Raw genomic sequence first — 20,082 nt, 5'->3', positions numbered from 1 at the left:
CAACAGAGTGAGACTCTGTCTCTAAAAAACAAACAAAAAAATACTAATTTTTGGAAACTAGGTCTCTGATGATCTTTTTTCCCCTCAAAATTTGGGAGGGTAGTTATTTGAAGTTTTTTTTTTTTTGGAGACAGAGTCTCATTCCATGGCCCAGGATGGAACACAGCGGCGATCATAGTTGACTGCATCCTTGAACTCCTGGGCCTAAGTGATCCTCCCATCTCAACTTCCCAAGTAGCTGATAACTGCAGTAGCTTGCTAATTTTTGTATTTTTTATTATTATTATTATTTTTTAGAGATGGGGTCTTGCTACATGGCCCAGGCTGGTCTCCAACGCCTGGTTTCAAGTGATCCTCCTGCCTTAGCCTCCCAAAGTGCTGAGATTACAGGCTACTTTATTTTTTTATTTTTTTATTTTTTGTGATGGAGTCTCCTCTGTTGCCCAGGCTGGAGTGCAGTGGCACCATCTCGGCTCATTGCAACCTCCACCTCTGAGATACAAGTGATTCCTCTGCCTCAGCCTCCCAACTAGTCAGGATTACAGGCACCCGCCACCACACCCATCTAATTTTTGTGTTTTTAGTAGAGATGGGGTTTCACCATGTTGGCCAGGCTGGTCTCAAACTCCTGACCTCAAGTGATCCACCTGCCTTGGCCTCCCAAAGTGCTGGGATTACAGGTATGAGCCTCTGTGCCTGGCCTGTTTGAACTTTTTAGTTTGGATTTTGCATAAATAGTTTAGTAGTCTGCTAAACTAGAAGAAAGGTATATTTGGAAATTGTACTAATTCGTAACTGGTTTATAGATTAAGGTTTTTTAATTGTTAATTTAGAGCAGAATTCTTTTGTAACTGCATTCTTTTCCTGGCCTACAGACGTCTGATTTTACTTAGGACATTCATAGTAAATGTTCAGCAATCAAGTTTTGAATATTAGACAGTGAGCCCTAACTGTGACCATGTACTAGATATTTTAAACCTAACATATTCAGACAGATTTTTAGTAAGTGGGAATGACATAGACTCAATTCTTACTGAAGCCAAGTCTTGGTATTATCCTTGATTACATGTTATAGTCTTTCCCCTTCCTTTCTACATCTAGTCAGTCAGCAAATCTTGTTCTTTGCCTTTCAAATGTATTCGGATCTGTCCGCTCTTGGTCATCTTTGTATAATTCAAGTCCATGCGTAATTACTTCTGTAAATAATGTCCTAAGTTGGGCACACTGGGACATGTCTGTAGTCCCAGCTACTCAGGAGGCTGAGGCAGGAGGATCCCTTGATCCCAGGAGTTCAAATCTGGCTTGTAACATAGTAAGACCCTGTCTTGGGGGGTAAAAAAATTAAAAATAGTGCGCTTACTCTATGTTGGTTTCAGTTTCCACTCTTCATATACAGTTGGCCTGCTGTATCTGTGGGTTCTGTATCCATGGAGTCATCCTGTCACAGATTGAAAATATTTGGGGGAAAAAGATGGTTATGTCTGTAGTGAATATGTATAGATTTTTTTTCTTTGTCATTATTACCTTAATGCAATGTAACAACTATATAGCATTTACATTGTATTAGGTATTATAAGTGATCTAGAGATGATTTAAAGCAGCAATGGAAGACAGTTTTTTCCACGGGGGTTTGGGGGGATGGTTTTGGGATGAAAACTGTTCCACCTCAGATCAGCAGCCATTACTTAGATTCTTATAAGGAGCACTCAGACTAGATCCCTTGCATGTGCAGTGCACAGTAGGGTTTGTGCTTCTGTGAGGATCTAATGCTGCCACTGATCTGACAGGAGGCAGAGCTCAGGTGGTAATGCCTCCCTCCTGCTGTGTAGCGTGGTTCCTAACAGGCCACGGACGGGTACTGGTCCTTGGCCAGGGGGCTGGAGACCCCAGATTTAAAGTATATGGGAGGGTGTGCGTTTTATATATATATATATATATATATATATGCTGTTTTATATAAGGGACTTAAACATCTGTGAATTTTGGTATCTGCAGGGGTCGAGGAAGGATAATCCACAGTCTTACGGATACGGAGGTACAACTGTCTAGTCAAAGAGATCTTTATATCTCAGTCAGATCATGTCATTTCACTGAAAACCTTCAGTGACTCCCTATTTTAACATTAGCAGTGAATCAAAACCAAAAACTACCTACAAATGATATTTATAAAAACCTATACGAACTAGCCCATGCTTACCTCTCCAGCCTCATTACATTTTTCACCGCTTTTTTCTATTGTAAAAATAAGCCTCATCTTATCTCAGGTCTTTTGTTTTCCCTTTGCGGGGAAGGTTATGCCTTCGGATATTTGAAGTCATTTAGATCTTAGCTCACATCCTCCTCCTCGTGTTTATTTTCCCCACTGCAACAGTGACTGAATTTTTTTTTTTCCCCTTTTCTCTTTTTTTCACCCACACTCGAAGAGCTGGATCAGCAGGGACCTTGTCTATCTTGTCATCATTAACTTAAGTGCCTGGCACTTAGTAGCTGTTAAATAAATATTTGGTGATTGAAAGCTTTGTGCACTAGATAAAGTCATTTGTTGATTATGCATTTGCTGTCCATTAGCCAACGTTTATGTAGAGCAACTAGATCAGAAGTTTGTTTTTGAATACTGACTGCCATTTACCTGCTATATAACCTTGGGCAGGTTACTTATATTTGTGTTTTTTTTCTTTGTCATTTGTAAAGTGGGGATAATATTATCTTGCCTCAGAATCTTGGGATGCAAATAAGACATGACATGAATAATGCTTAGAACAATGCTTGGCTATTATTTATTTAAAATGTTCAGCTTTGGCAAACTTTTATTTCATTTTGGGAACAAGAGTTGTGGGGATTTACCCATTTTTCCAAGACTTCTAGTAGTATTTATTAAATTGAAATGAAGCTCAGTTTGAGTTTTGGTGACTAATTACCTTTGCTAATTCAGGGACTATTCCTACCTAGTTCTGTATCTTAGAAGTCTAGGAAATTTAAATAAAGATATTTTGCTGTTTTTTCCTCCTTACTGCTCTTAATTGTCTTAATGCAAAGAAGTTGGGTGCTCAGTTTTAGGAACTTTAAATATACATCACAGGCTGTTTTAAAACCCGTCTAATTTATAGTTTTAGGAGTGAAGGTCAGTGCAGAGGTACTGATAGTGGTGACAAGAAGAAAATAAAGTAATGAATCTTAGGATAGGATTTTTTTCTTCTACACTAGTTCTTCTGTACAAGTTTCATAGCTGCACGTATTGGTGTGGGACTTGTATGGTTTCTCTTAAATTTTACACCAAATAATGAGATGAACTGTTTATTCATCTCTTTTTTTTTTGGAGACAGAGTCTTGCTCTGTCTCCCAGGCTGGAGTGCAGTGGCAGTGGCGCAATCTCCGCTCAAAGCAAGGTCTGCCTCCTGGGTTCATGTCATTCTCCTGCCTCAGCCTCCCAAGTAGCTGGGACTACAGGCGCTCGCCACCACACCCAGCTGATTTTTTGTGTTTTTAGTAGAGACCGGGTTTCACCGTGATAGCCAGGATGGTCTTGATCTCCTGACGTCATGATCCTCCTGCCTCGGCCTCCACAGTGCTGGGATTACAGGCGTGAGCCACCACGCCCAGCCCTATTGATCTCTCTTTACCAGCAGGTTCATGAGAAATAGTGCGTGCATATTCAGTTGTCTGTTGAATAATTTTTCTGTTATAGACTAATACATGCTATTATAAAATATAAAATATTTATAATAAACTTTCATATTTTGTGATTTAGTAATGTAGAAATGAAGCAGCAAGTTAGAATCAATATGTTGTTAAAAATGGAATTTTTCTGTTTAGCAATATTACTTGGCAACACTTAAATGAGTTTTGAGCTTCATATATTTGGCTCTGATTTCCTGTTTTGTGTATGTGACTTCGGTTTTTTTTTTTTTTTTGAGACAGAGTCTCTTGCTCTGTGGTCCAGGCTAGAGTGCAGTGGCGTGATCTTGGCTCACTGCAACCTCTGCCTCCCGGGTTCAAGCGATTCTCCTGCCTCAGCCTCCTGAGTAGCTGGGATTACAGGGACGCGCCCCCAAGCCCAGCTAATTTTTGTACTTTCAGTAGAAATGGGGTTTCACCATGTTGGCCAGGCGGGTCTTGAACTCCTGGGCTCAAATGTTCCTCCCACCTCAGCCTCCTAAAGTGTTGGGATTACAGACATGAGCCACCGTGCCTGGCCTGTGACTTGTTTCTTTTAAGAGTTCTAGTTGTGTAACAACTGAATTTTTGTGTGTGTTCTTGTGGGTATTCATATTATTCACAAAAAGTGAATTAAGAGAGAGAACTGCTTGTCTTTGTTTATATACCATTAGGAAAATTGGAATGCACATGTACACACTTAGGGCTTCAACGTGTGTGCCATGTAAGAAACACATTGTAGCATTTGAGCTGCCTCAGTATTATAAAACTAGTATTGAATTCAGTTAATGATTTCCTGTTTTCTTAGAATGTTTTACATCAGTCTTGACTCTTACAAGCTTTGACATTGGTATTTGAGGTCTGAGTTCGTACATATAGAGAAATAGCATGAATATTTTATTAGGAGATGTTTCAAAGACTGTATTACAATGGTTAAAGGAAAGTCCAAAACCTCTTTAAGGAACACTGCAAGTTGAGACTCTGCTGTTTTAATAGGTAGGTGACCTTGCCTGAGTCAGTCTTTTTGAATTTCAATTTTCTCATCTTTAAAATGAGGTTTTTGGTGATCCCTCAGTTTCCTTTCAGCTCTGGAATTTGGTGGGTAAGTTACCTTGAATGTGTATCTTTTCTTGTTAAAATTTTAAAAAACAATATAGAAGGAAACAAATCCTTTTTACTCCTATTTTTTAGAAATAACCCCTAAACCTGGTAATATTTTGACGTGTTTTTTTCAAACTTGTCTGTGCATTTTTTAAAGGAGCTTCTGTCGTATATAGTTATGCCCTGCTTTTGTGTGCATGTTAAGCATTTGGTATGTTATTTTAAAGTGGAATGCCTTGAAGAATGAATCAGTCAGACCTACTGTTAACATTTTGATGTATTTCAGACTGACTTACAATTTTTTGGTATTTGATATTATGTATAATTATATCCTGCATTTACTTAGCATATTAAGGATTTTTTTATATGTAATTTTAAAGTGGAATGCCTTGAAGAATGAATCAGAACCACAGCTGCACAAGGTTGTACCCTTGGGAAGTAGTATAGTGATGTCCGTCGAAAAACTAATCTGGTCCCTGTTCACCAAACCTGTCGGACTGCGTGCCCAAGGAAGATTTTTTTTTTTTTCCATCTGCTGTCATTTTTGAGTCTCATTAAGAGTTCATCAGTCTTGAGCATATCTTACTCTTTGTTTTTTTGTTTTGTTTTGTGTTTTGAAACGGAGCCTCACTCTGTCACCCAGGCTGGAATGCAGTGGCACGATCTTGTCTCACTGCAATCTCCGCCTCCCGAATTCAGGCGATTCTCCTGCTTCAGGCTTCCTAGTGGCTGGGATTATAGGTGCACGCCACCACGGCTGGCTAATTTTTGTATTTTTAGTAGAGATGGGGTTTTGCCGTCTTGGCCAGGCTGGTCTCGAACTCCTGACCTCAGGTGACACGCCCGCCTTGGCCTCCCAAAGTGCTGGGGCTGGGGTTACAAATGTGAGCCACCATTCCCGGCTTGACCCACTTATTCTTAGAATTTATTGTGAAGATAGGTGCAGAGATTGAGCAATATGTTTATTATAGCAGTGTGATTTTATAATATAAAATTTGACATGGAAAATGGCCCAACAATAGGTTTAGCTATTCAGTGAAATAGTGTGTAGGTGTTAAGTAATTGTTGACATAAAAAGATACTCATTTTAATTTAAAGAGGTCTACTTTTGAGTAAGTTTGTATCATATACATTGAAATTGCATAGTTATATATGTATATATACAAATAAGTGGGCTGAAAACAGTAGATTTAGTTGGTGAGATTGTGGATTAGTTTACTTTGATAGGATATGTTATTGTCAAAAAATTTTAACAGCTTTATTAAAATATAATTCATTTCTCCAAAAAGAAACCATGTATTCATTAGCATTTACTTTCCATTTCTACCCAATCTTCTTTCCCACCTTGGTCTAGGTGGTAGCTAACCTACTTTCTTCCTATTCTGGGCACTTCATATAAATGGAATCAGCCGGGCGCGGTGGCTCACGCCTGTAATCCCAGCACTTTGGGAGGCCGAGGTGGGCGGATCACGAGGTCAGGAGTTCGAGACCAGCCTGGACAACATGGTGAAACCCCATCTCTACTAAAAATATAAAAAGTAGCCAGGCGTGGTTGCACATGCCTGTAATTCCAGCTACTTGGGAGGCTAAGGCAGGAGAATTGTTTGAACTTGGGAAGCAGAGGATGTTGCAGTGAGCCAAGATAGCACCATTGCACTCCAGCCTGAGTGACAGAGCAAGACTCTGTCTCAAAAAAAAAAAAAAAAGGAATCATAGAACGTGTGGTCTTCAGTGGCTGGCTTTTCTCACTTAGGATGATGTTTTTCAAGATTCATCCATGCTCTAGCCTGGATGTGATAGTACATTACTACTCTACTTTTTATTGTCACATATTCCATTATATTGATTTACCATATTTATTCATCACTTGATAGACATTTGAGTTATTTTTACTTTTGGCTTTTATGAATAATGCTGTGAACATTTGTGTCCAAGTTTTTTTGTGAACATAAGTTTTCATTTCTCTAGGAGAAAATTCCTGGGTCAGATGTAATTTCACGTTTAACGTTTTGAGAAAACTCTCAGACTTGCCAAATCAGCTGCACCGTTTAACATTCCCACCAGCAATTGTAGGAGGGTTCCAATTTCTCCACATCCTTGCCAACACTTGTTATTATTTGTTATTTTTTGGCCGTCTGAGTGGGAGTGACGGTAGTATATTGTGATTTTTGATTTACATTTCCTGGATAACTTAATGATGTTGAATTATGTGAACTAAAAAAAAGTGTGCGAATTTAAAAATCTTCTGTACTTAACATGAATTTACATTTGTAAAAGTCTTTTCAGTTGGAAGAACATAGTTATTTAATTTTTGGTATATTAAGATACGTGAATTTATGTATGACATCAGTTGAACCATTATGGTTAATAATGAAAGGTACAACTTGTAAATCTGAATCTGGGAGTAGGAGCAAGGGGTGAATTTTTTTAAAAACCTACTTAGCAAAGTTAAGAATAAAAAACAATTGTAGTGAAAAGGTACACGTAAAATGAGGTGGTGTGAATAAAACTAAATGTAAACATTACATTTTATGAATGAATATAGTTCTGTTAAGACTTTCTGTTTTAATAAACCACTTTGCTATGTCTTATTTTGTGAGACAAAGCTCAAACAAAACAAGAGCAAGCAATGATACAATGTCACAAAGAAAGCAGGAATGGCAATACTGCTGTCTGTTAAAAGTGGAATTTAAACTCAAAGCTTGAAGAGAGAAGGGTATATATAGGCAGTCCTTAGCTTTACATAGTTCCTGTAGGCACAAATTTCAATTGCCATGACTTAGCTAAGTAACAGTCCACTAACAACATGGTTAAAATTTCACCTACCCTGCCATATTAACTAATTGTATAAACTACAACATTTGCTGCTAGTCTTTCAACCTACAAATTAAGATGTAAATGACAGGTGCATATAATGTCACTTTTAAAGCTTCTTGGTGATTGGTCACCATGCATTGGTTTCTCAAAATCATGCACAGTCGGATGTATAGTTGGCCTCTGTCTCCTAATGATGTCCCCATGTGACAGTTTACCAAAATAAACAAGGAAATTGGTCAACAAAGATGATAGTGCAGCAAAAATCCTAATGCTAGATGGGAAATTTGAATTTAACATAAATGGAATAATAGAATAAATAGCTTACCTTGTGAATATAGATGGTTTGCAGTTGGAGAGACACTAATTGTCCAGCCAGAGAAACTTAGTGAAGGCAAGCTTATCAACATAAATGAAAAAGGTAGTTGTAATGGAAAATATGAAGATATCCTATTAATAGAAGTGATACCAACAAAAAACATTGAGGATATTTCACATCATTGAAAGCATGAAGGATAAAATATTGGAATGTGATCTAAACTTAGGAGTATGACAGTTTGCCAAGGCATAGAAGATAGACGCATTCCATATCATAATAAATATCACTAGAAGAAGGCAAGCACTGTTCAAACTATTCTTGATAGATTTTTTTTAATACAAAGAAATGATACACTTTAATATCAGTGTTCCTAATGTTTTAAGTTACAGCATACTAAGTTGGTATTGGTTTTACTATTTCATTTCCTTATGCATTTACATAACCGTCAGTAATAGACTACTTAATATTCTGACAAATTTTAAAGGTCACAGAACAATCGTAACTTTTCCCATTGATTATTAAGATTGCCTTGCATGGTCCTTTTTAAGAACTGCTTTTTTTGAGGTTAAGAAAAATGATTCATGTAAAAAAATTTATCTTTTATACAGTAACTTTGTGGTAGATCAGTCTTCTGTGGCTTTTAGACTTAGAGCCATATCTTTAAAAAAAAATAAATATTTGAGGTTTTAAAACATTTTCCTGTAATTATTTTTGAGGTCTTTTCCTACTCCTGAAGTTCCTGGTCACCCCAATTTTGAGCCCTTTGGGGATTTTAAATTGTAAATGAGGGTGCTTAAGATTCAACTTCTTTAGTTGTCTTTTTAGCTTCCAAATTTTATTTTTGCCTTGTTTGGTTTTAAGAGTTTATACTTTTAAAATAATCTCTTTACTGTTGTTTTTCTGGTTTTTCAGGAGGGAGAATTTGTGTTGAATTGGGTTTGTTCTGACCAGAAATACGTTTTCATGGAGGTTTAACTCAAGTCATTTACTTGGAATTTGAAACCTGTTACATAAGAGGAATGTTATACTGTTAGAGCTAAATGTGTTAATTTTTCTAATTTGAGATTATGGACAGGAATTAATGATGTCTAGTAAAATCTTCAGTTTTTGATGGAATGAGATGATTTCAGTTTAACTCCAAAGTAAATTTGGTAAATTATTGGTTTGCCTTAATCCTAGCATAATAATATTACTTTGAAAATGGGATGTGCAGTTAAAATACATGGATACAATGAATGTTACAGAATTTAAATAATAAAGCTGACTTTTATATACCCTGATTTTTTATATATGTGTGTGTGTGTATTTTTTTTTTTTTTTTTTTTTTTTTTTTGAGATGCAGTTTTGCTCTTGTTGCCCAGGCTGGAGTGCAATGGTGTGATCTTGGCTCACCACAACCTCCGCCTCCCGGGTTCAAGCGATTCTATTGCCTCAGCCTCCCAAGTAGCTGGGATTACAGGTGTGTGCCACCACGCCTGGCTAATTTTGTATTTTTAGTAGAGACGGCATTTTGCCACATTGGCCAGGCTGGTTTCAAACGCCTGACCTCAGGTGATCTGCCCTGCTAGGCCTCCCAAGTGCTGGGATTATAGGCATGAGCCACCACGCCCAGCCATATTTAAATAGAACTCTTAAGTCTTTTAATTGAAATTTTATTTTAGAGCCTTTTTAAAATTCTAACTAGAATATTAACTGTACTCATTAGTTCCCTAATTCTTAAAGAATTTTAGCAGATCAGGAATTTATGATATGTATCTAATGATAGTAATAATTTTAAAATTTAGTACATTTTAGAGGAAATAAGTATCAGTTCCATTTTCCTGTTGCTTTGGGGAGTATATGTATATCAGCTGTCATAGTAAAATTATCAACATACTTACGTCTAGCTTTATAGAACTGACAGACTTATATGACTCACTGATGTGGGGAGGAGATGTACAGGGTCCATCCTGGATAATGTATCTAAATATATATGTACAGATGGTCCCTGACCTACTGATATGGTTTGGCTCTGTGTCCCCACCCAAATTACACCTCGAATTGTAATAATCCCCACACATCAAGGGCAGGACCAGGTAGAGGTAATTGAATGATTGGGGCAATTTCCCAAATGCTGTTATGGTGATAGTGAGTCTCATGAGATCTGATGGTTTCATAAGTGTCTGGCATTTCCCCTGCTTGCGCTCATTCCCTCTCCTGGGTCCCTGTGAAGAGGTACCTTCTGCCGTGATTGTAAGTTTCCTGAGGCCTCCCCAGCCATGCGGAACTTTGAGTCAATTAAACCTCTTTTCTTTATAAACTATCCAGTCTTGGGTATTTCCTCATAGCAGTGTGAGAACTGACTAATATGGTAAATTGGTACCAGAAAGTGGGGTGATGCTGTAAAGATACCTGAAAACGTGGAAGCGACTTTGGAACTGGGTAACAGGCAGAGGTTGGAACAGTTTGGAGGGCTCACAAGAAGACAGGAAAATGTGGGAAAGTTGAGAACTTCTAGAGACTTGTTGAATGGCTTTGACCCAAATGCTGATAATGATATGGCCAATGAACTCCAGGCTGAGGTGGTCTCAGATGGAGATGAGGAGCGTGTTGGGAACTGGAGTAAAGATCACTCTTGCTCTGCTCTAGCAGGGAGACTGGTGGCTTTTTGCCCCTGCCCTAGAGATCTGTGGAACTCTGAACTTGAGAGAGATGATTTAGGGTATCTGGCAGAAGAAATTTCTAAGCAGCAAGGCATTTAGGAAGTGACAGAGCATAAAAGGAAAATTTGCAGCCCGATGATGCAGTAGAAAAGAAAAACCCATTTTCTAGGGAGAAATTCAAGCAGGCTGCCAAACACTAATCACCAAGACAATGGGGAAAACACCTCCAAGGCATACCAGTGACCTTCCTGGCAGCCCCTCTCATCATAGGACGAGAGGCCTAGGAGGGAAAAATGGTTTCCTGGCCTGGGTCCCGGGCCTTCCTGCTGCGTGCAGCGTTGGGACTTGGTGCCCTGTGTCCCAGCTGCTCCAGTCTTGGCTAAAAGGGACCAAGGTATAGCTGAGGCTGTTGTTTCAGAGGGTGCAAGCCCCAAGCCTTGGCAGCTTCCACATGGTGTTGGGTCTGCGGATGTGCAGAAGACAAGAATTGAGGTTTGGGAAACTCTGCCTAGATTTCAGAAGACATGTGGAAATGCCTGGATGTCCAGGTAGAAGTCTGCTGCAGGGACGAAGACTTCGTGGAGAACCTGTGCTAGGACTGTGTGGAAGGGAAATGTGGGGTTGCATCCCCGACACCGAGTCCGCACTGGGGCACTGGCTGTGAGAAGAAGGCCACCATCCTCCAGACCCCAGAATGGTAGATCCACCGACAGCTTGCACCATGCACCTGGAAAAGCTGCAGACATTCAACACCAGCCTGAGGCGGGTTGTGTACCATGCAAAACCATAGGGGCAGAGCTTTTTAAGGCTGTGGGAGCTCACCTCTTGCATTTGCATGATCTGAATTTGAGACATGCAGTCAAAGGAGATCATTTTGGAACTTGACTGCCCCTATTAGATTTCAGACTTGGCATGGGGCCTGTAGCCCCTTTGTTTTAGTCAGTTTCTCCCATTTGGGATGGGTGTATTTAGCCAATGCCTGTCCCCCCATTGTATCTAGGAAGTAACTTAACTTGCTTTTGATTTTACAGGCTCCTAGGTGGAAGAGACTTGCCTTGCCTCAGATGAGACTTTGGACTTGGACTTTTGAGTTAATGCTGGAATGAGTTAAGACTTTGGGGGATGGGGACTGTTGGAAGGGCATGGTTGTGTTTTGAAATGTGAGGACATGAGATTTGAGAGAGGGGGCAGGGGCAGAATGATATGGTTTGGCTCTGTGTCCCCTCACAAATCTCACCTTGAATTCTAATAATCCCCAGGTGTTAAGGGCGGAACCAGGTGGAGGTAATTGAATGATGGAGGTGGTTTCCCCCATGTTGTTCTTGTGATAGTGAGTTTCATGAGACCTGATGGTTTCATAAGCGTCTGGCATTTTCCCTGCTTGCATGCATTCTCTCCTGTGGCCCTGTGAAGAGGTGCCTTCTGCCATGATTGTAAGTTTCTTGGGGCCTCCCCAGCCGTGTGGAACTGTGAGTCAATTAAACTTCTTTTCTTTATAAATTACCCAGTCTCTGGTATTTCTTCATAGCAGCGTGAGAATGGACTAACACACCTATAGTGGTTCAACTTAGATTTTTTGACTTTAGAGTGGGTTTTTCATGGTTACTTAAATGGATTTCTGACTTCAGATATTTTAGATTTACAGTGGACTTATTGGGACATAACCTCCTAGTAAATTAAGAACTATCTGTGTATATATGTACACACATATGCAAACAGTTGAGGCTCGTTATTTGTGGATTCCATATTTGCGAATGTACCTACTCACCAAAATTATTTGTAAGCCCAGATCAGTAGTACTTGTTGTACAGGTCATTCACAAACATGCACTGAGTAGTGGAAAGACTTGAGTCTCCTGATACAACACATTCTTAGCTGAGGTTGTACAAGGGAATGCTTGCCTTCTTTTTTCAGCACTCATACTGTAAGCAAGTATCTTTTTTGCAGTCTGTTTATTGCCATGCATTTTTTTGCTTTTGTTGGTCATTTTGCTATTTAAACTAGCTCCCAAGCATAATGCTAAAGTGTTCTTTCATGTTGCTAAGTGCGAGAAGGTTATAATGTGCTTTACAGAGAAAGCGCATGTTACATACGCTGTTGGCTATGAGTTCAGTGTTAATGAGTTAGCAGTCTGTATTAAATAAGGTGTCTTTAAACAGAAACACACATAAAATGAATTTATGTATTGATTGGTTCATGAAAACCTTGTGATTACAGGAACCTAACCCTGTATTTCCCCTAGGAGCAATGGTTGTGTATTTGCTAATTCAGTTTTCACAGTGACTTTATAGAACATTACTACCACAGATAGCAAAAATTGATAGTACATATATGAATGAATGGGTTATAATATGTCTGATTCCCTCATTCAGTAAAATAAAATTCTTAACATACTCACTGATTATTTTAAAAACACGATAGTTTTGTGAGTTGTATAATATACGAAGTTATTTTGAAGTGAAACTATATTTGGGGTGCAGTTAAATGTGTTGATTAATGCTAATGTGTCAAAGTTTGTAGTTTAAAAAAACCCAAATTTATTGAATTAACCTTTTTTTTTTTTTTTTTTTTTTTGAGACAGAGTCTCACTCTGTCACCCAGGCTGGAGTGCAGTGGCGTGATCACAGCTCACTGCAACCTCCGCCTCCCGGGTTCAAGCGATTCTCCTGCCTCATCCTCTCAAGTAGCTGGGACTACAGGTGCACGCCACCACGCCCGGCTAATTTTTGTATTTTTAGTAGAGATGGGGTTTCACCATGTTGGCCAGGCTGGTCTCAAACTCCTGACCTCAAGTGATCCACCCGCCTCAGCTTCCCAAAGTGGTGAGATTACAGGCGTAAGGCACCACGCATGGCGATGTAACCATTTTTAAGTGTATAGTTCAGCAGTGTTAAGTACATTCACATTGTGCAACGTCTGTGGTTTTACTTAATAGGATTATGGATTTAAATAGTAGCTTGTTACTGAATTTAATAAAAGTATTTGGAATTATTAATTGCCCTTTAACTTATTTAAGATTTGTAATGCAGTTTAGGTTCTGTATTTTTGATAATTGTGTAATAGGGTGTCTTATCTAATAAATTATGTATTTGAGCTTGCTTTGCACTCACATCTTCCCCACTTCTTTTTTAGTGCTTTTTTAGGACCAAAGGATATATTTCCTTACTCAGAAAATAAGGAAAAGTATGGCAAACCAAATAAAAGAAAAGGTTTTAATGAAGGTTTATGGGAGATAGATAACAATCCAAAAGTGAAATTTTCAAGTCAACAGGTAAGTCATATTACATAAAATTTGATATTACTTATTTAATCCTGGGGAATAATCACTATCCTAGCTGTAGGAAAGTAAATACTAAAAGCCTTGGGAATTTCATACTAGTTTGTTGTGTTCTTATTTGTGAGGTTGAACCTTGGGCATTTTATATCAAAATGAATTGACAAAATCATTATTTTATGTAGTTAAACAGATCTCAAGAAACTGGGAACTATTCAGTTATTTAACTCCTGATAGAGGGTTTAATACGTCATTGAATATAAAGCTGTATGTACTGTTCTAAATTTAGGTTTTGCGACTTACATGGTGTATGCCTAAGTTTTCTTATTCTCTTTAATTAATTAATTAAATTTCTTTTTTTTTTTTTTTTTTTTGAGGTGTAGTTTCGCTCTTGTTGCCCAGGCTGGAGTGCAATGGTGCAATCTTGGCTCACTGCAACTTATGCCTCCCGGGTTCAAGTGATTGTCCTGCCTCAGCCTCCCAAGTAGCTGGGTTACAGGTGCCCGCCACCACGCCTGGCTAACTTTTTGTATTTTTACTAGAGACAGGGTTTTGTCATGTTGGCCAGACTGATCTCAAACTCCTGACTTCAGGTGATCCACCCACCTCAGCCTCCCAAAATGCTGGGATTACAGATGAGAGCCATTGCGCGCAGCCTTTAATTTCTAAATCCATAGAATTGTATTGGAATATGAACCTCATGAGTTAAATTGGTATGTGACAAATGTACTTACAGCACTATGCAAATTATATTTATTGGTGTCAGCAGCCACCTTATACCTTCTTTTCTGTGGTTTTTCCCATGGGTCCAGAGCTTTTATTAATTTATATGTTATAGTAAATTTTCATGGAGTGGTTTGCCTTTATCCAATTTGTATTGTTTTTATCCTACAGAAAACACTGGTTCTCTTACTTCTCCTTTGTGTTGGTATTGATGTGATTTAGAAAAAATTTATTTTTTTTGAGAGGAGTCTCGCTCTGTCGCCCAGGCTGGGGTGCATTGGCTCTATCTTGGCTCACTGTAAGCTCCGCCTCCCGGGTTCACACCATTCTCCTGCCTCAGCCTTCCGAGTAGCTGGGACTACAGGTGCCCGCCACCACACCCGGCTAATTTTTTGTATTTTTAGTAGAGACGGGGTTTCACCGTGTTAGCCAGGATGGTCTCGATCTCCTGACCTTGTGATCCGCCCGCCTCGGCCCCCCAGAGTGTTGGGATTACAGGCCTGAGCCACTGTGTCCAGCCTAATTTTTTGTATTTTTAGTAGAGACGGGGTTTCACCTTGTTAGCCAGGATGGTCTCAATCTTCTGACCTTGTGATCTGCCCACCTCGGCTTCCCAAAGTGCTGGGATTATAGGCTTAGAAAAATTTTTTATATTGTCGATTGCACTCTTGAATTGTTGCATATATTCCCAAATGAATGTTCCAGAACTCTTACGATTTAAAATAAACAGATGGCTTTATAATAGGATCAGAGGGCTATGAGAGGTCTTTATGAAGATAATTGGGACAGTTTCTCTTTCATCAATAAACGTCCTCTGTTTAAGACCTGAGGTCCAAAAACTAGGAAGAGCACGAGTAAATCTAAAGAAGCGAGGTAGCAACAAAGTGGAAATTCTGCAGCTTTTTACTCTTTTTTTTGTTGTTGTTGTTGAGATGGAGTCTCACTCTGTCACCCCGGCTGGAGTGCAGTGGCGTGATCTCGGCTCACTGAAGCCTCTGCCCCCCAGGTCAAGCAATTCTCCTGCCTCAGCCTCCTGAGTAGCTGGGATTACGTGTGCGCTTTGCCACCGTGCCTGGGTAATTTTTGTATTTTTAGTAGAGATGGGGTTTCACCATCTTGGCCAGGCCAGTCTTGAACTCCTGACCTCGTGATCCACCCACCTCAGCCTCCCAAAGTGCTGGGATTACAGGCATAAGTCACTGTGCCCGGCCTAGCTTTTTACTTTTAAACCGATAAATTTTATTTCTTCACATGTGCCATGCTTTACCTTGGAGAACTTTTTAGATACTGTTCTATCTGGAACATATAAATCTTTCATTGCTGCTCCAAGGCCACATTAAATGATTAGTGACTTTATTACTTCCCAGTACTTACTTGTTAATGGATTCATCGAACCATATCATAATTGTTTCTGTACTTGTCTGTACCTGCTACAGAATATTATGTTGCCTCTGTGAACAAAGGTTTATGTCCTGTGTGCCCAGCATGTACACGTGTGAGAAGAATAGCTAATCACTAAATATTTGTTGAATGGCTACATGGTTTCTTATCATTATTGCCTTGACTGTGTGATGGGAAGACATCTGTCTAAAGAGACAGAATTGATTGTTATCTGAAACTTAACGTCTTGTAATTTCTTTTTTGTTGTTGTTTTTTTGGAGACAGCATCTTGCTCTGTCGCCCAGGTTGGAGTGCAGTGGTGCAATTTTGATCTTGTCTCGCTGCAACCTCTGCCTCCTGGGTTTTAAGTTATACTCGTGCCTCAGCCTCCCGAGTAGCTGGGATTACAGGCGCGTGCCACCATGCCTGGCTAATTTTTGTATTTTTGGTAGAGATGGGGTTTCACCATATTAGCCAGGCTGGTCTTGAACGCCCGACTTCAAGTGATCTGCCTGCCTCAGCCTCCCAAAGTGCTGGGATTACAGGTGTGAGCCACAGTGCCCAACTACGTTTTGTAATTTCTCTTGGATCATTTGTCCTGTGATTGCACCTTTATGGTCTTTTTTATCCTCCAAATTGCCAAGCCTTGTCACCATATAATCTTGGAGTTTTTTTTAATTTTTATTATTTGAGACTGCGTTGCCCAGGCTGGGGTACAGTGGTGCAATCATGGTTCACTACAGCCTCGACCTCCTGGGCTCAGGCTGAGGAGGGAGGATGCCTTGAGCCCAGGAATTGAGGCTTCAGTGAACCATAATTGCGCCACTGCCTCCAGCCTGGGTGATAGAGTGAGACCCTGTCTCTAAAAAAAAAATAAAAATAAAGAATTGTATATATTATTGGGATAAAAACTTATTTTTTGAAATTAATAGAGTTGATTGCTCACAGGCAGCAACTAAACAATCAAATGCATCATCTGATGTTGAAGTTGAAGAAAAGGAAACTAGTGTTTCAAAGGAAGATACCGACCATGAAGAAAAAGCCAGCAATGAGGTATGTTCTATTTCTCCTAACATTTTAAACCCATTTTGTTTCAAGGAAGAAATAATGAAATGAGTTGGCCATGATTAATTAGTAAGTAATTTTTAAAGTACTTCAAAAGTGAATTAGAAAATATTTAAGGCTTATTTCCTTGTGTAAATATTAAATACAGTATTGTCAAACAACTTATGCATCTTTAAGATGCATACCTGTTATTATTTGAAGTTATTTTTATATGTAAAACATGAAGTCCAACTGTAGGGTGCGGTAGTGTTAAGGATTTTTTTTAAAGAGAAGTGTTGTAGGATGGATGTACTGGAAACAGCATTAGACTAAATTTTTTAAAACCTAGGTTGATGTCCAACTGTATATGATCTGTGTGTAAAGATGACTCATTTAGCCCTTCCAGGCCTAATGAAATGGTTGTTAGATGATCTTCAATGTCCCAGCCACCCTTTAAAATTCACAATTCAAATTTATCCACCCCTATAATTCAGAATTCTAGTGTAGAAAAAGTAGTTTTATAAATTTAAATAGACAGACTTCCTGGTGTACCAGCAACCATGACTTACATTTGATCTGACAGTGGAAATGCATTTTTCTCACTTTATAATGTTGAGACACAATGTTTTTAATTTCAGAACTCTACAGAGCAAAACAGATTTCCCCAATGCTTTCAGTTAAACGTGCTTGTAACTTTTAGTTTAACAAGGTTTCTTTCATTCCTGGAATAATTTATTCAGTATTCAGTTTTCTTTTTTCTTTTTTAGGATGTGACTAAAGCAGTTGACATAACTACTCCAAAAGCTGCCAGAAGGGGGAGAAAGAGAAAGGTAATTTCACTGACTTACCAACCATGGGGATCTGAAAAGAATTTTTATTTTAATTGGGTTGAGGGAGAGTAGATACAATGAAACCTTAAATTTCAGCTTTTATTCTAAACCCTTTAATTTTTTATGGGTTATGTTTTACTTGGCAAAACTATCTGTGTTTCTTTCTTAGTGATATAGCACCCTTAAAGTAACTTGAGTGGTAAAGGAAATAAAATACACCAGTTTTCATTCATTTTAATGACTGTGCCTCAGTTTTCTCTAAATTGGGTAGAAATATATACTCCAAGGTTGTGGAGGATTAAATGATTTAACATATGTGAAATGTTTATGCTAAATCCTGATACCTAAACACTAGTAAGTGTTATATAAGTGTTGTCCATTATGTTGTTGTTGTTGTTACTTCACGTTGTGAGAAATGAGTGTGAGTGACAGTGCAAGGTTAGGTACATAGTAGGCTTTTAATTAATATGAAATTTTCCTTCCATATACGAAGTTTTGTTCACACCCTTTTCTGACCTATTTATGTCTCAAATTATTATCATATACCAAAGATGCAAAGAAAACCAAAAGTTCAGTATCTCATGAGGAGGTAAACTATGAAAATAAATAATTACAGTGGCTTATTTGTTGTGCAGTATGGGTTGGAAGTGGTGTGATAACAAGATTTTAAAATACAGGCAGAATTTTGTCAGGCGGATGAAGGAGCAGGGAAGGACACATGAAGCCATTTCACATAGAGGAAATTCCTACTCAAGCATCTTGAGTATTGTATTTCATTATTAACACACCATAAAGTCTGAGGGAAATGGGTACCAAAAAAACCTGATGTTGTCCTAAAGACCTTGGAACTTACAGAAGTGATGGGAAATGATTGAATTATTTTAAATTTTAGATACCTCCTTTTAAAAAATTTTTTTAAGAGATGGGGTCTCATGCTGTCACATAGGCTAGAGTAGTGCAGTGGCACAATCATGCCTCACTGCAACCTGAAACTTGTGGGCTCAAGGGATTTTCCCATCTTACCCTCCCTAATAGCTGGGACTGTAGAAGTGTGCCACCATACCCGGCTAATTTTTTTTTTTTTTTTTTTTTTTGAGACGGATCTCGCTCTGTCATCCAGGTTGGTGTGAAGTGGTGCGATCTTGGCTCACTGCAACCTCCACCTCCCGAATTCAAACAATTCTCTTGCCTCGGCCTCCCAAGTAGCTGGGATTACAGGCATGCACCACCATGCCCAGCTAATTTTTGTATTTTTTTGTTTTGTTTTTGTTTTTGTTTTGAGACGGATTCTCACACTGTTGCCCCAGCTGAAGTGCAGTGGCGCCATCTCGGCTCACTGCAACCTTCACCTCCCAGGTTCACGTGATTCTCCTGCCTCAGCCCCCCGATTAGCTGGGATTACGGGTGCACACCACCATGCACACCTAATTTTTTTGTATTTTTAGGAGAGATGAGGTTTTACCATGTTGGCCAGGCTGGTCTTGAACTCCTGGCCTCAAGTGATCCACCCACCTCGGCCTCCCAAAGTGCTGGTGTGAGCCACCACGCCCAGCTAATTTTTGTATTTTTAGTAGAGATGGGGTCTCACCATGTTGGCCAGGCTTATCTCGAACTCCTGACCTCAGGTGATCTGCCCATCTCAGCCTCCTGAAGCTCTGGGATTACAGGTGTGAGCCACCGGGCCTGGCCTATATATATATATTTTTTTTTTTGATAGACATGGGGTTTTGCTATGTTGCCTAGGCTGATCTCTAACTCCCAGCCTCGGTGATCCTCCCAAAGCACTAGGATTGCAGATGTGAGCCTCTGTACACAACTTGATGCCTCTTTTTTCTTTTTTTTTTTAAATATAAATTTGTTTTTTTTTTTTTTTGGATACAGAGTTTCATTCTGTCACCCAGACTGGAGTGCAGTGGCATGATCTTAGCTCACTGCAACCTCCACCTCCCGGGTTCAAGCGATTCTCCTGCCTCACTCAGCCTCCTGAGTAGCTGGGATTACAGACGTGCACCACCACGCCTGGCTAATTTTTGTATTTTTAGTAGAGATGGGGTTTCACCATGGTGGCCAGGCTGGTCTCAAACTCCTGGCCTCAAGTGATCTGCTCACCTCTGCCTCCCAAAGTGCTGGGATTACAGGCATCCGCCACCATACCCAGCTAATTTTTTGTATATTTAGTAAAGACAGGGTTTCACTATGTTGGTCAGCCAGGTCTTGAACTCCTCACCTTGTGATCCGCCTTCCTTAGCCTCCCAAAGAATGCGTCATTTTTTTAAAGCAGTGTGAACGATGGGGATTGGA

The 20,082-nt window shown here is 39.3% G+C and overlaps 1 protein-coding gene across 12 annotated transcripts in view; it reads left to right on the top strand.

The window, feature by feature from the left end:
• The window catches only part of PSIP1 (PC4 and SRSF1 interacting protein 1), a 46,905-nt gene that overhangs the window by 7,184 nt on the left and 19,639 nt on the right, over window positions 1–20,082 (top strand). For all 12 annotated transcript variants that reach the window (NM_001128217.3, NM_033222.5, NM_001317900.3 and 9 more), the window contains 3 exons: window positions 13,663–13,801; window positions 16,856–16,960; window positions 17,719–17,781. In NM_001128217.3, coding sequence (NP_001121689.1) covers window positions 13,663–13,801; window positions 16,856–16,960; window positions 17,719–17,781 — 307 coding nt within the window. The remainder of the gene's footprint in view (window positions 1–13,662; window positions 13,802–16,855; window positions 16,961–17,718; window positions 17,782–20,082) is intronic.

The sequence above is a fragment of the Homo sapiens genome, chromosome 9, assembly GCF_000001405.40.
Source record: "Homo sapiens chromosome 9, GRCh38.p14 Primary Assembly".
Taxonomy (NCBI): Eukaryota; Metazoa; Chordata; class Mammalia; order Primates; family Hominidae; genus Homo; species Homo sapiens.
The sequence above is the reverse complement of the archived record's forward strand: the minus strand, read 5'-3'. Positions and strand labels throughout refer to the sequence as shown.